Source organism: Homo sapiens, chromosome 1 (genome assembly GCF_000001405.40).
Source record: "Homo sapiens chromosome 1, GRCh38.p14 Primary Assembly".
Taxonomy (NCBI): Eukaryota; Metazoa; Chordata; class Mammalia; order Primates; family Hominidae; genus Homo; species Homo sapiens.
This window is the reverse complement of record NC_000001.11, coordinates 77,803,702-77,818,915: the sequence shown is the minus strand read 5'-3', so window position 1 is coordinate 77,818,915 and position 15,214 is coordinate 77,803,702. Positions and strand designations below refer to the sequence as shown.

Genomic DNA, 15,214 nt, shown 5'->3' with positions numbered 1-15,214 from the left:
AAGAGACAGGGTTTCACCATGTTGGCCAGGCTGGTCTCGAACTCCCGACCTCAGGTGATTCACCCACCTCAGCCTCCCAAAGTGCTGGAATTACAGGCGTGAGCCACCACGCCCAGCCAACACCCTGCTAATTTTTTATCTAGAGTTTCCTCTAGAGATGAGGTCTCACTATACAAGGCTGGTCTCGAACTATACAGGCTGGTCTTGAACTCCTGGGCTCAAGCAATCCTCCCACATCTGTCTCCCAAAATGCTGGGTTTGCAGTCATGAGCCACCATGTCGAGCCAGGAAAGACTTCTTAGCCATCATCTAATTTCATCTTTCCCCCTGTGTGTTAATAGCTAGGGGAAGCTAGTTAATAGTAGCTACTAATAACTAGTAGCCACTATTGTTTGTTACCATGTACTAGGTGGGCCCTTTGTTAAGCACTTCACGTACATCCTTGTGTCTTCTCTGGGTCAGGTACTGTTATATTCTGAATGAAAATTATCTCAGCAGGACACAGTGGCTCACACCTGTAATCCCAGCACTTTGGGAGGCCGAAGCAGGTGGATCGCCTGAGGTCAGGAGTTCGAGACCAGCCTGACCAACACGGAGAATCCCCATTTCTACTAAAAATACAAAATTAGCCAGGCATGGTGGTGCATGCCTATAATCCCAGCTACTCAGGAGGCTGAGGCAGGAGAATCGCTTGAACCTGGGAGGCGGAGGTTGCGGTGAGCCGAGATCATGCCATTGCTCTCCAGCCTGGGCAACAAGAGCAAAACTCTGTCTCAAAAAAAAAAAAAAAAAATTAGCAGGACGTGGTGGCACACACCTGTAGTCCTAGCTACTCAGGAGGGTGGGGTGAGAGGATGGCTTGAGTCCAGGAGGCAGAGGCTGTAGTAAGCTGAGATCACACCACTGCACTCCAGCCTGGGTGACAGAGAAAGACTGCTGCAAAAAAAAAAAAAAAAAAAATCTTCCAATCTTGAAATCCTACCAGATTCTTAAGGGAAAAAAATGAAGTTCATCAAATTAGACAAAGCAGATTCCAAAACAATGAAGTATTCACTGACATCAGATAGATACTTGGTTTACATTCGCCCCGAGCCTCTGAAGGCATTTGTTACACTATCTTAATTTATGACTATTAACTTTAAGTTGCCTCTCAGTAAGTTAAATGTATACAATGATTTTGGATTTAAAGAATGAGGAGAGTTAACTGACTTCTAGGCAATTTTGATCAATGTCAAGTAACAGTTGTAAAAGAGCTGCTCCCAGAGTCTCAGCCATAAATTCAGCTCTTTTGATCCAGAAGTTCAAAAATGCAAACTTGCAATATCCAAACAATTCCCCAAAATGAACAAAATATAACAGCTTCACATTAAATGGAATCTCCAGGGCAACAGGAGGCCAACGAACTGGACGGCTACAGAGAAAAGCACATCAGTCTAGTAGGCAGTGACAGCACAGGTTAAAACATGAGTGGGGTCAGGAACTTATTCCAAACCTAAGCTAACTAAGTGCATGGACTGATTGTGGGTCCCACCCTATCCATTTAGAGCTCCAGATTAACAATAGTTGCCTCAGAAACAACTTGAAGACCCCAAAACTAAGCCCCTAAAACTAAGCCCCCAAAACTAAGACCCCAAAAACTAAGCCACATGCCCAGAGGTATTCTTGTCTAAAAGCAACAAGAATCTAAAGCAGACCTCTGAGACTGTACCCAAGGAATCCTTTTAACCTGAAGAAATAAGAGACGGACCCAGTCAACCTCTACAGAAGGATATAGAAAAAATGTGCCCAGGCATGCCAAACAGAACCAAATCCGCGATGAATATTACAAGACTAAAGGAACAAGAACTACACATCCACAAGATCCTTATAATGAGGCTAAAAGAAACTGCCAAAGATTAGACAGTGTAGACAAAGCCTCCATTCCTAGAGTAAGACATTAAAAGTCCCAGGATCCTCTTCCTCTTTCCTCCTTATAATTTTTTCCTACTTACTTTTCTCTGTGGCATTCCGTGCCACTTCACCATTTTTCTAACTTTTCTAGTTGTTCCATTCTTATTCTACATTTGAGGTTTTAAAAAATTTCTTTTCTCGGTTCTTTCTCCTACTTAGTATCACAAATGACGTTCTAATTAAAGTTACAAAAGAAACTGTAGAAAAAATTAATATAAAGCTTTGACAAATTATATTTGTTGATACGAATACTGCCTACTTTTTTTCTAGACTGTAATCTCCTAGCTATGTCAAAACATTATGCCTATGCTAATAGCAGAGAAGCTATTAAAAAACACTCAAGTCTAATAAATAATGTTTGGTGACAATAATAGTACGACAAAGCAGAGACCAAAGAGATTTCATATAACCTTATGACATATACACAGTAATTCATAATTCTAATACAAACAAAATCTTTTACCTAAACTCAAAATGCATAGATATAAATATCTCAAAGTTCAGCTGCTTTCAGTACTAATGTGGAAAAAGTTAAAACTCCTTAGCTTTTATTTTAATTGGAAAATAATAATCCTCTTCATACTAAAAAAGACTTAAATTATTTTTGACCAAAAAAACCATGTAATTTTGTCTTCTTTCTTTCTTTGGGGGCATTTATAGAAGTTGAAGAAGCAACTTTAATCATTCCTTTCTTCCAAGACTTCATTCAAGAACCTCACCTTGGCCAGGCATGGTGGTCCACGCCTGTAATCCCAGCACTTTGGGAGGCTGAGGTGGGAGGATCACTTGAGGTCAAGAGGTGGAGATCGGCCTGGCCAACATGGTGAAACCCCACCTCTAATAAAAATACAAAAATTAGCTGGGTATGGTGGCACATGCCTGTAATCCCAGCTACTCAGGAAGCTGAGGTAAGAGAATTGCATGAACTTGGGAGGCGGAGTTTGAGTTGAGCCAAGATCATGCCACTGCACCCCAGCCTGGGTGACAGAGTGAGTGAAACTCTGCCTCAAAAAGAAAAAAAGAAAAAAAGAAAAACCTCATCTTGTCTCCACAAAAAAAATTTTTTTAATTAGCAAGGCATGGTGGCATGTGCCTATAGTCCCAGCTACTTGGGAGGCTGAGGCAGGTGGATCACTTGAGCCCAATAGGTCAAGGCTGCAGTGAGCTGTGATCGTGTCACTGCACTCCCACCTGGGCAACAGATATCCTGTCTCAAAAAAATAAAAAATAAAAAACTTTTTAAAAAGTATCTTTAAAACTCTTTTCTCTTTAAAGTAGGAAACAAAGGTAATGACCCATAACGATGTATGTACTGACTATTTACATCAACAGCTATCCTGCGATTAAAGTGGGTCCCAACATACATAATTCTTTAAAGTATTTTAAGTAATATTATATGCATATTTCTGAAGTGCTGAGTCTGTCCCATTTGTGTATTTTTATTCTTTTCTCCCTCCAACACTCTTAACTAGATTTTTTCACCCACAATATATTTTAAAATAATGTCACAGCCTGCCTATGATAAGTACTTGAATTTGTATCTTAAGGGCATTAGTTCATTTGAAAATTAAAACTGAAAGAAAAAAGAAATATGATAAAAATTTTTTCTCTTGGCTAGTTTATTTTTTTTTAAGTAACCTATTATTACATAAGACAGACACTTATGCAGATGATTCCAAGGATATAAAAGAAAAGTAAACATTTCATAAAAGCCATATGAAATATCCATCTTACCAATATCATCAGCAAGGGAATTAGGATCAGATGCCCCAAGGGTAGCTTCAAACTCCTCTTGGAGACGATAGGCTCTTTGCAGCAGAGCTTCGAGTTTATGGATAAATTCAGTACTAATAATATCCTACAAGGAGAGAAAAAGTACACAGAACAAATTAAATTCTAATGTTAAAATTCTAAATATTTTTCCCACTTTTAAATAAAAGGCAAAGAAAGTGAGTAATATAAAAAAACAACTGAGAGATGGTGGAAAGAGTACAGCAGCAGAAGTCAAGAGGCCTGGGTTCTAGCTGTGTCTTTGGCAAAATTACCTTAGTTCTTAGTGATTCAGTTTCTTTACCTATAAAATTAAGGAGTTAGACTAGATTGGCAGTTCTCAAAGTAAGGTCCTTGAGCCAGCAGCTTCATTATCACCCAAGAACTTGGTAGAAATGCAAATTCTTAGGATCCACCCCAGTCCTAGTCAATGAGAAACCCATGGGGTAGGGCCTCCAAATCTGTGTTTTAACAAGTCCTCTAGGTGATTCTTATGCATTCTCAAGTTTGAGAACCACTAGCTTAACTAAATAATCAATAAGGACTAGTCTAGCTCTACACCTTTATGTGATTTTAATGAACATAATGGCACTTAATTAATCCCAAAGCACAAATCAAACTTTAAAAAATTCCAAGCCAGACAAGGTAGAATGTGCCTGCAGTCCCAGCTGCTTGGGAGACTGAGGCAGAAGAATTGATTGAGCCCAGGAGTTCTGGGGTATAGTGTACTATGATTGTTCCTATGAACAACCACTGTACTCCAACCTGGGCAACATAGCAAGACCCCATTTCTTTAAAAAAAAATCCTTTAGAAATCAATCTGCTTATTTTGCATATCCTGGGAAAGTCAATAAACTTGATGAATGGTAAATCTGGCATTTAACAACTACCTGGATAGAAAAAGACTAATAAGAAATACCCCACATTGTCCCAAGGAAGAAGAAAAAAACAGTTCTATTAAATGCACATAAAGCAAATACACTGAATCAACATTAAAAAATACTTTGGGTCAGCACCTTGGCTCATGCCTATAATCCCCAGCACTCTGGGAGGCCAAAGTGAAAGTGCTGCCTGAGGCCAGGAGTTCGAGACCAGCCTGGGCAACATAGTGAGACACCATCTTTACAAAAAATTTAAAATTAGCCTGGCATGGTGGTGCATCCCTATAGTCCTAATTACTCAGAGGACAAGGCGGGAAGATCGCTTGAGCCCAGGAGTTCAAGACTCAGCCTGGGTAACAACAGTGAGACCCTACCTCTACCAAAAAAACAAAAAAAAAGTTTGATTCTTCTAATATTATGAAGACCACTCAAATCAATCACCCTTACATCTACATTTTCTTCAGCAATGGCATCTCCTGCACCCAGTTTAATGGAACCACAGGCTTCATCTTCAGCCTGTCTATTGCGAAAGGTCAGAGCTTGTTCCCATCGACGCAATGCCTCTTCAAACAATTCCATACCTAAAAATTAAGAACAGAACAATTTTAACTGAGCAAAATCAATGCCAAAATAAAATTATTGGGGCCTGAAATGTTTTCATACATTATCACTGATGTCACAGTCTAATTTTGACACTAAAGAATCATACATCATTTCATGACAGAATCTTAGTTTCCCAATACATTCTCAGCCTATGGTTCCAGTTAACCAAAAATCAGAGACAAAATGGCCAATATGTTTTCATTTCTTTAAAAATATAACACAAATGTATATGGTGCTCAGAATTTTTCTAAAAGAATATAATGAATTCATCAGAAGTTCCACAGTAATAGCTATTTTTTATAGCCACACAACTATGTTTCAAAATATCCCTGTAAATTAAAAGGAAAACTAATGGGAAGATAGAAGAAACCAGTTTACAAAAAGCTACCGGGTTTATAAGTTCTCAGAAGAACAAAGTAAAGCTGAAGATGGCCCGGCGCGGTGGCTCATGACTGTAATCCCAGCACTTTGGGAGCCCGAGGTGGGTGGATCACCTGAGGTCAGGAGTTCGAGACCAGCCTGGCCAACATGGTAAAACCCCATCTCTACTAAAAATACAAAAAGCAGCCAGGTGTGGTGATACGTGCCTGTAATCATGGCTACTCAGGAGGCTGATGCGGGAGAATCGGCTTGAACCTGGGAGGCAGAGGTTGCAGTGAGCCGAGATTGCACCACTGTACTCCAGCCTAGGTGACAGAGCAAGACTCTGTCTCAAAAAAAAGAAAGTAAAGCTGAAGAAAAGATAATAATATAGAAGTCTAAAATAAAAGCCTTTTCCACCTTTTGTCCCTTAAAGGGTGTCCTGAACCACTATGATCCCAACAGGCGGATTTGGATAAATTGGTGGGCCAGAGTTAAAAATCTGCAAGATACTGAATGAACCCATCAAAAGTTAGTTATAGTCCAAGTAGGAATTTCCTTTCCTTGCTGAGAGAAAGCTTTGTGTGAAAAAAAAATGAACATGTGATTCCTTTTCTCCAAATTAAAAAACAAGGCTTACAAAAATAACTATGCACTTCAAACAAAACAAAAATAGTTTAAAACTTCAACTTTTAAAGTATTTTTAAGATGTTAAATATTAAAGAAAAAGATCTTTAAAAGCTGTTTAAGAATCTGGGCAAGTCATTCTCTTGATGTTTTTAAGATATGGTAGCTAAAAAATACCTCTCCTCTCAAGTCATTTCTTCAATTACCTATAGAACCTACAATCCTAAATGAATACAATTTCGTATTTATTTGTTATTCATTTATTTATTTATTTATTTATTGAGACAGAGTCTCACTCTGTTGCCCAGGCTGGAGAGCAGTGGCACCATCTCGGCTCACTGCAACCTCCTACCTCAGCCTCCCAAGTAACTGGGATTACAGACATGTACCACCATGCCCAGCTAATTTTTGTATTTTTAGTAGAGATGGGGTTTCACCATGCTGGCCACACTGGTCTCGAACTCCTGACCTCAGGTGATCCACCAGCCTCAGCCTTCCAAAGTGCTGGGATTACAGGCGTGAGCCACCACACCCAGCCTCTTTTATTTTTTTAAATGTATTTATTTATTTATTTGTAGAGATGAGGTTTCACTATGTTACCTAGGCTGGTCTCAAACTCCTGGGCTCAAGCAATCCTCCCACCACAGCCTCCCTAAGTTATGGGATTACAGGTGTGAGCCACCACACCTGGCCTAAAATTTCTTAAAATGAAATGCAGGCCTTTCCTTCTTGTTTGATTTTCTGTAGCAAAAAATAGCTTTTGAATCTTCCTCATAAAACATTTATGCAAAATGGGCTTGGGCGGCTCCTCGGCAGGTGGCGGTGGTGGCCGTAGCGGTTCCTCCTGGCCCTGTTAATGTCGGGGCCAGGCCGGGGGAGGATGGCGCCCTAGAACCCGGCCTTGCTGGGGTAGGGGCGGGAGGGGACGGGGTGGGGACCGGCCATGTCGGAGGTGACCCGGAGTCTGCTGCAGCGCTGGGGCGCCAGTTTTAGGAGAGGCGCCGACTTCGACTCTTGGGGCCAGCTGGTGGAGGCGATAGACGAGTATCAGATATTAGCAAGACATCTACAAAAGGAGGCCCAAGCTCAACACAATAATTCTGAATTCACAGAAGAACAAAAGAAAACCATAGGCAAAATTGCAACATGCTTGGAATTGCGAAGTGCAGCTTTACAGTCCACACAGTCTCAAGAAGAATTTAAACTGGAGGACCTGAAGAAGCTAGAACCAATCCTAAAGAATATTCTTACATATAATAAAGAATTCCCATTTGATGTTCAGCCTGTCCCATTAAGAAGAATTTTGGCACCTGGTGAAGAAGAGAATTTGGAATTTGAAGAAGATGAAGAAGAGGGTGGTGCTGGAGCAGGGTCTCCTGATTCTTTTCCTGCTAGAGTTCCCGGTACTTTATTACCAAGGTTGCCATCGGAACCAGGAATGACATTACTCACTATCAGAATTGCGAAAATTGGTTTGAAAGATGCTGGGCAGTGCATCGATCCCTATATTACAGTTAGTGTAAAGGATCTGAATGGCATAGACTTAACTCCTGTGCAAGATACTCCTGTGGCTTCAAGAAAAGAAGATACATATGTTCATTTTAATGTGGACATTGAGCTCCAGAAGCATGTTGAAAAATTAACCAAAGGTGCAGCTATCTTCTTTGAATTCAAACCCTACAAGCCTAAAAAAAGGTTTACCAGCACCAAGTGTTTTGCTTTCATGGAGATGGATGAAATTAAACCTGGGCCAATTGTAATAGAACTATACAAGAAACCCACTGACTTTAAAAGAAAGAAATTGCAATTATTGACCAAGAAACCACTTTATCTTCATCTACATCAAACTTTGCACAAGGAATGATCCTGACATGATGAACCTGGAACTTCTGTGAATTTTACCACTCAGTAGAAACCATCATAGCTCTGTGTAGCATATTCACCCTTCAACAGGCAGGAAGCAAGCCGTACCCAGACCAGTAGGCCGGACGGAGTCCAATGCAAAGCTGTACCACAGAATTCAGAGTCCAGCACATCACTGACGTATAGGACTCCTTGGGATACAGGTTTATTGTAGATTTTGAAACATGTTTTTACTTTTCTATTAATTGTGCAATTAATAGTCTATTTTCTAATTTACCACTACTCCTACCCTGCTTCCTGGAACAATACTGTTGTGGGTAGGATGTGCTCATCTTCAGACTTAATACAGCAATAAGAATGTGCTAGAGTTTACACATCTGTTCACTTTTGCTCCAATATGCTCTTTTGACTTAATGTCAAGCTTTGGGTTGATGTGGGTAGGGTAGTGTCAAACTGCTTTGAGAGGAATGGGACCAGTTCTGCTGCCTAAGAAGGTCTGTCTGGATGTTTATAGGCAGCACCTCTGAAGTGGCCTAAATTCACCCTGATCTGATAGTTTTCCTGCTTAGAAAGTGTGCCTTGGCCAGATCAGTATCCCACATGGGAGTGTTCCCTAGGTTGTAGCTGTGATTGTTTCCAGATGACCAGATTGTTTTTCTGAAAATGAGCATATTTTTAGTCATGTCGATTAGCTGTTCTTCTACATCACATTGTTACTCTTTCTGATGATGATTCTAGGGTTAACATTGGAACCATCTCAAAATAATTACAAAGTTTTAGATGGGTTTACAATGTCTTCTAAACAATGTAATCTAAAAATAATTGAGTCAGATGCTAACGAGATACTGCAGGCATAAGTGCTGTTTTTCTGACAACTGATTGTGAAACCTTAAAACCTGCATACCTCTTCTTACAGTGAGGAGTATGCAAAATCTGGAAAGATATTCTATTTTTTTTATATAGGTAGATAGGATCGCCATTTATTTCCTATTTAGATATACTGACATTCATCCATATGAAAATATGCAGGTCATTAGCTTACTATAATTTACTTTTGACTTAATGGGGCATAAATAAAACTTTCATAGTACAAAAAAAAAAAAAAAACATTTATGCACATAAAAACCAATTATATCACTATCTATTCTCCTTTCTCCAAGTTATGCAACTCTAATTTCTTCATCCTTTTCTCACACTATCCCTTCTATACACTTATTATTTTGGCTGAACATATGAACACAGGAATAATTATTTTATTTTATTTTTTTTAGTTTTTTTTGGTCTCTTTTTTTAGAGATGGGGTCTTACAATGTTCCCCAGGTTGGTCTTGTACTTCTGTGCTCAAGGGATCCTCCCACTTCAGCCTCTCAAGTAGCTGGGACTACAAGCATGTGCCACCACACTTGGCTTCAGGAAGAATTATTTTACAGCAGAGTTGTATAACACAAAGATAAAACCTGTCTCCTCAAGAAGTACTATGTCTACCTCACTATATAGTCCAGACTACCAAATATCATCAGTTTTGTAACAGCAAGTCAAACATATGTCACCAATCTTTTTTTAAGGTCTTCAATTTTATAAAGAGAATTGAAACAGATGGGTGATGATACCAGGTGGTCCACAGGGCTCCTTGCAATCTTAATCCTGTAACACAAAGACCCCCCTGTGGCGTCTCTAGTTTTACTCTACATTTCTTCAATTTGAATTTTTAATATTCTGAGGTTTTTGTTGTTGTTGTTGTTGTTGTTGTTGTTTTAAGAAAACGGGCTCTGTCACCCAGGCTGTAGTGCAGTGGCACAATTAGCTCACTGTAACCTTGAACTCCTAGGTTCAAGTGATCCTCCTGCCTCAGCCTCCCAAGTAGGTAAGACTACAGGTACATGACACCATATCCAGCCATAAACTTGTAATATTAACAGAAGCTGTGAATGTTAAGTTTCCTAGACACAGAGTAATCTAGAAATATGTGAATTTAACTCTCTGGAGACCTTCTTTCCCCATAGGAATACCCACTGTGATGGCACTGGAGATGAGATAGTCTAACTATTCTAGAGAGTAGGAATGCATTCTGAGGCACTCAGTCCTTCTACACAGAGCCATCAACCCTTCATTGCTCACTGGCCAAGGCCACATCAAGTTTACTGGTTTTGTTTTTTATTTAGTATGCATTTCCACTAAAAGGAGGATAGCCTGAAACAGAACAGAGAACAGGGAAAAGCATTTGAATCTTCTGATTCAACAACAGGTTCATTTGGTTCTTCTTCAGGGCTCCAGTGAGGCTCCATAGACATGTTCATGGTCAAGTCAAGAAATACTGAGATGTGAAACACAGAAAGCCTCTTTCTATTTAAAATTTTTTTCTGGATATAATACAAATGATAGCTAGAAAAAACATATTTAGTAAAGTGAGTTCTGATAGATTCATTATATAACAGTCAACAGGTTAGGTTAAGATAGTGTAGTAGGCTGAATAATGGTCACCCAAAGATATCAGGTCCTAATTCCTAGAACATGTAAATGTTACCTTATAAATAAAGGTAACATCTTACATCTTTCTAGATGTAATTAAGAATCCCAACACAGGGAGATTATCCTACTTTATCTGGTGGGCCCTAAATCTAATCAAAAGTGTCCTTATAAGAGAATGGCACATGTATACATATGTAACTAACCTGCACAATGTGCACATGTACCCTAAAACTTAGAGTATAATAAAAAAAAAAAAAAAAAAGAGAGAAAGGTGGCTGGGTGAGGTGGCTCACGCCTGTAATCCCAGCACTTTAGGAGACCGAGGCGGGTAAATCAACTGAGCTCAGGAGTTCAAGACCAGCCTGGCTAACATGGTGAAACCCCATCTCTACTAAAAATACAAAAAATTAGCCAGGGGTGGTGATGCACACCTGTAAGCCCAACTACTTGGGAGGCTGAGGCATGAGAATCACTTGAACCCGGGAGGTGGAGGTTGCGGTGAGCCGATGTTGCACCACTGCACTCTAGCCTGGGCGAGAGTGAGACTCTGTCTCAAAAAAAAGAGAGAGAGGGAGAGATAGGGAGATTTGATACACACAGAGGAGAATGTGACACGAAGACAAAGGTAGAGACTGGAATGATGTGGTCACGAGCCAAACAATGTTGGAAGCCACCAAAAGCTGGAAGAGGCCAGGAAAAGATTCTCCCCTAAGCCTCCAGAGAGACCATGGCTCTACTGACATATTGATTTCAGCCCAGTGATAATGAAATTCTAGCCTCCAAAACTCTTTCTGCTGTTTTAATTTTGTTGTATTAGTTTAAACTAACACAATGTATGACGTTATGAAGACTAGATACAACAGATATAAGAACATTTAAAATTATAGTTGCTTCTCTTAGAACAATTCAGTTTTTTAATTTCAACTTACCACCAACCGTGGTGGCTCACGCATGTAATCCCAGTACTTTGGGAGGCTGAGGCGGGCAGATTGCTTGAGCTCAGGAGTTCAAGACCAACCTGGCAACATGACAAAACCCCATCTCTACAAAATTTTTTTTAAAAATTAGCTGGGCATGGTGGTATGCGCCTGTGGTCCCAGCAACTCAGGAGGCTGAGGTGGGAGGATCACTTGAGCCCAGGAAGTTGAGGCTGCAATGAGCAGTAATCGCGCCACCGTACTCCAGCCTGGGTGACAGAGTGAGACCCTGTCTGTCTCAATAAATAAAAAACAAGAACAAAACAAATTAAATGTGAGCACAGTATCTTAAAATGTTATCATCTCATTCCTACCCATTAAGTATAAGTTCTCTGGAGTAGTCACAGGAATATTAACAAGTTTAATATCATCTTCATCTGCTTTGTCCCAGGAATTAGAATTGCCACAAGCGCAGCTATGACAAGAATTGACACTCTGGACCTAAAATTAAGATGGATAGAAGTTACTTCAAATCTCTCTCATGATAGTATGTTGTGATCTTTCATATTTACAAATTATTTTTATAAATCCTATTAGTGGTAAGACAATCCATGTAATTTCCACATGAAGAAATAATTCTGATGATAATCAATCAAACTTAGAAATCACGACTCTATTCTAAGCCTGTTTGCTCAAAAATACACAAGAAGAGTAGTATTTTGAATGTAAATCACTTATTTCCATCAGAAATCAGGCAGTTATGTTTATATCATTTATTCTTTTAAGCATTCACTTATAAATTTTATCTATACCTACTGTGATTTAAGCTAGCTAGCTTATTTTTCTTTTAGAATGTTTTACAATGCTGACTCTCTGCTAAATGATACCTAAAATAAAAAAGCCACTATCATCTTTGTAAATGCCCTCTCCTAGCAAGGTCCACTGAGCAAATCATTTCAATCACCTCTATGCAGATGATTCTCAAATTCCTAACTCCAGTTCTGTCCTAATTCCAGTTCAGTTTTGAGAAATCTAAGCCCACATTTTCATTTGCCTTTTAGGTGACTCCATTTGGCTCTTCTGCTGGCATCTCAAACTAACTACAGACACTTTCGACATAACAACATCTGGGTCAACGACGGACCACATATACAACAGTCAACCCTACCGTAAGATTACAAAATTGTATTTTTACTGTACTTTTTCTATGTTCAGATATGTTTAGATACACAAATACCATTGTGTTTCAATTGCCTACATTATTCAGTTCAGTAGCATGTGGTACAGGTTTGTAGCCTAGGAGCAACAAGTTACAACATATAGCCTACAGATTATGCTGCTTCTGAAATGAAGAGTAAAATATTCACCTAATTAATTAGGGTGGTATTTGAATGTTCTACTGTAATCAGTATAAAAATACTGGCAACTATGTTAAATTTATATTTTTGTTAAATTGTAAGATTTAACAAAAGAGGAATGACTAGTTCAGTTAGGCAAGTACAGTACAGTGATTCTAAAGACTTGTTACACTATTATCATGAAATTCACCTTATCTACTTCTAGTCAACAAGGGCTTCAACTTTCAATTGAGGAAATTCAGAAGAGGCACTTCTCAGACACTGAGGAAGTTCACATTATAGAACAGGCATACTCTGGCCAGGCGCAGAGGCTCACGCCTGTAATCCCAGCACTTTGGAGGCCAAAACGGGCAGATCACTTGAGGTCAGGAGTTCGAGACCAGCCAAGCCAACATGGTGAAACCATGCAAAAATACAAAAATTAGCCAGGTGTGGTGGTGCACGCCTGTAATCCCAGCTACTCGGGAGGCTGAGGCAGGAGAATCACTGGAACCCGGGAGATGGAGGTTGCAGTGAGCCAAGATCACACCACTGCCCTCCAGCCTGGGCAACAGAGTGAGATTCCATCTCAAAAAAAAAAAGAAAAGAAAAAAAGAAAAAAGAATAGGTATATTCCATCAATACACTGCCAAAAAGACAAAAAAAAAAAAAAAAAAGAATAGGCATATTCTTCATTATGCTGCTCGGTTTCACAGAGAAACTGAAAGTCTGTAGGCCTTTGATCTAGCTGTTCCTATCCTAGAAGAGCCTTTAAAAATTTAGTACATTTTTAGGCATTACAGAATAGGGCAGCTATATATTCCAGTGAAATACGGAAGCAAGGGACCGGGTGTGGTGGCTCACGCCTGTAATCCCAGCTCTTTGGGAGGCTGAGGCAGGTGAATCACGAGGTCGGGAGATCAAGACCATCCTGGCTAACACGGTGAAACCCCGTCTCTACTAAAAAATACAAAAAATTAGCCGGGCGTGGTGGCGGGTGCCTGTAGTCCCAGCTACTCGGGAGGCTGAGCCAGGAGAATGGCATGAACCCAGGAGGCAGAGCTTGCAGTGAGCGGAGATTGTGCCACTGCACTCCAGCCTGGGCGACAGAGTGAGACTCCGTCTCAAAAAAAAAAAAAAAAAAAGAAATATGGAAGCAAGGTACAGAACAGAATATGGTGTTCTATAAACTATGAAGAAAAAATGAATACAGGCCAGGCATGGTGGCTCATGCCTGTAATCCTAGCAGTTTGGGAGGCTGAGGTAGGCAGATCACCAGGTCAGGAGTTCGAGACCAGCCTAGCCAACATAGTAAACTCCATCTCTACTAAAAACACAAAAACTACCCGGGTGTGGTGACACATGCCTGTAATCCCAGCTACTTGGGAGGTTGAGGCAGGACAATCGCTTGAACCCAGGAGGTGGAGGTTGCAATGAGCTGAGTTCCAGCTCATCGCGCCACTGCGCTCCAGCCTGGGCAACAGAGCAAGAATTCATCTCAAAAAAAAAAAAAAAATTGTTAATGTTGTTTATCTCCATGGCGGGGAATTGAGTGGATCAGGAACACATTTATTTTATTATTATTTTTTTTAGAGACAAAGTTTCTCTATGTTGCCCAGGCTGTCTTCAAACTCCTGGACTGAAGCAATTTTGCCTCAGTCTTCTGAATAGCTGAGACTATAGGCACCACCACAGCACCCAGCTCTCATTGTATATTCTTTTGCCTGTTCTGTATTTAATAGCAGGTACATATTCTACCTGTTTTTTAAATTAATGTTTAAATCACATTAGATTTAAACAAATACTAACTTCATTCCTCACTTGTCAATCAGCATTAATAGTAATGCTCCAAATAAAGATGGGCAGCCTCCTGCTTGTCAGTCAATACTGTATTAATGATTCAAAGAAGGAGGTGAAGAACCTCACACTTGGCTTCAGCAAACCAAATACTTTCACCTATGTAGGCTCATCAAGTGATTACTGTGACCCAGCACAAAGTCTGGCTGCATTGTCCAGCTTCTTGAAGAACAGCTAATTCTTTTAAATTAATAACTCTTTTTAATTTTAATTTTTGATTTTTGTGGATATATAGTAGGTGTAAATATTTATGGAGTACATAAGACATTTTGATATATACAACATGTAGTGATCACATCAGGGTAAATGGGGTATCCATCACCTTTATCTTTAAGCATTTATCCCTTCTTTGTGTTATAAACAATCTAATTATAATCTTTTAGTTACTTTTTAATGTATAATACTTTGTGTTGACTGCAGTCACCCTATTGTGCTATCAAACACTAGATCCTATTTATTCTATCTGCCTATATTTTTTTACCCATTAACCATTCCACTTCCCCTCCACCCCCCGTTACCTTTCCCAGCCTCTGGTAACCATCATTCTACTCTCTATCTCCATAAGTTCAATTGTTTTAAT

The 15,214-nt window shown here is 39.7% G+C and overlaps 1 protein-coding gene and 1 pseudogene across 17 annotated transcripts in view; one reads left to right on the top strand and one right to left on the bottom strand.

Annotated features, from left to right (window-relative positions):
- The window catches only part of MIGA1 (mitoguardin 1), a 99,892-nt gene that overhangs the window by 60,625 nt on the left and 24,053 nt on the right, over window positions 1–15,214 (bottom strand). For all 17 annotated transcript variants that reach the window (NM_001270384.2, NM_198549.4, NM_001416120.1 and 14 more), the window contains 3 exons: window positions 11,815–11,941; window positions 5,049–5,182; window positions 3,685–3,808 (listed from right to left, as the gene is read on the bottom strand). In NM_001270384.2, the coding sequence (NP_001257313.1) occupies window positions 3,685–3,808; window positions 5,049–5,182; window positions 11,815–11,941 (385 nt within the window). The remainder of the gene's footprint in view (window positions 1–3,684; window positions 3,809–5,048; window positions 5,183–11,814; window positions 11,942–15,214) is intronic.
- LOC653631 (axin interactor, dorsalization associated pseudogene) lies at window positions 6,981–9,148 on the top strand (annotated as a pseudogene).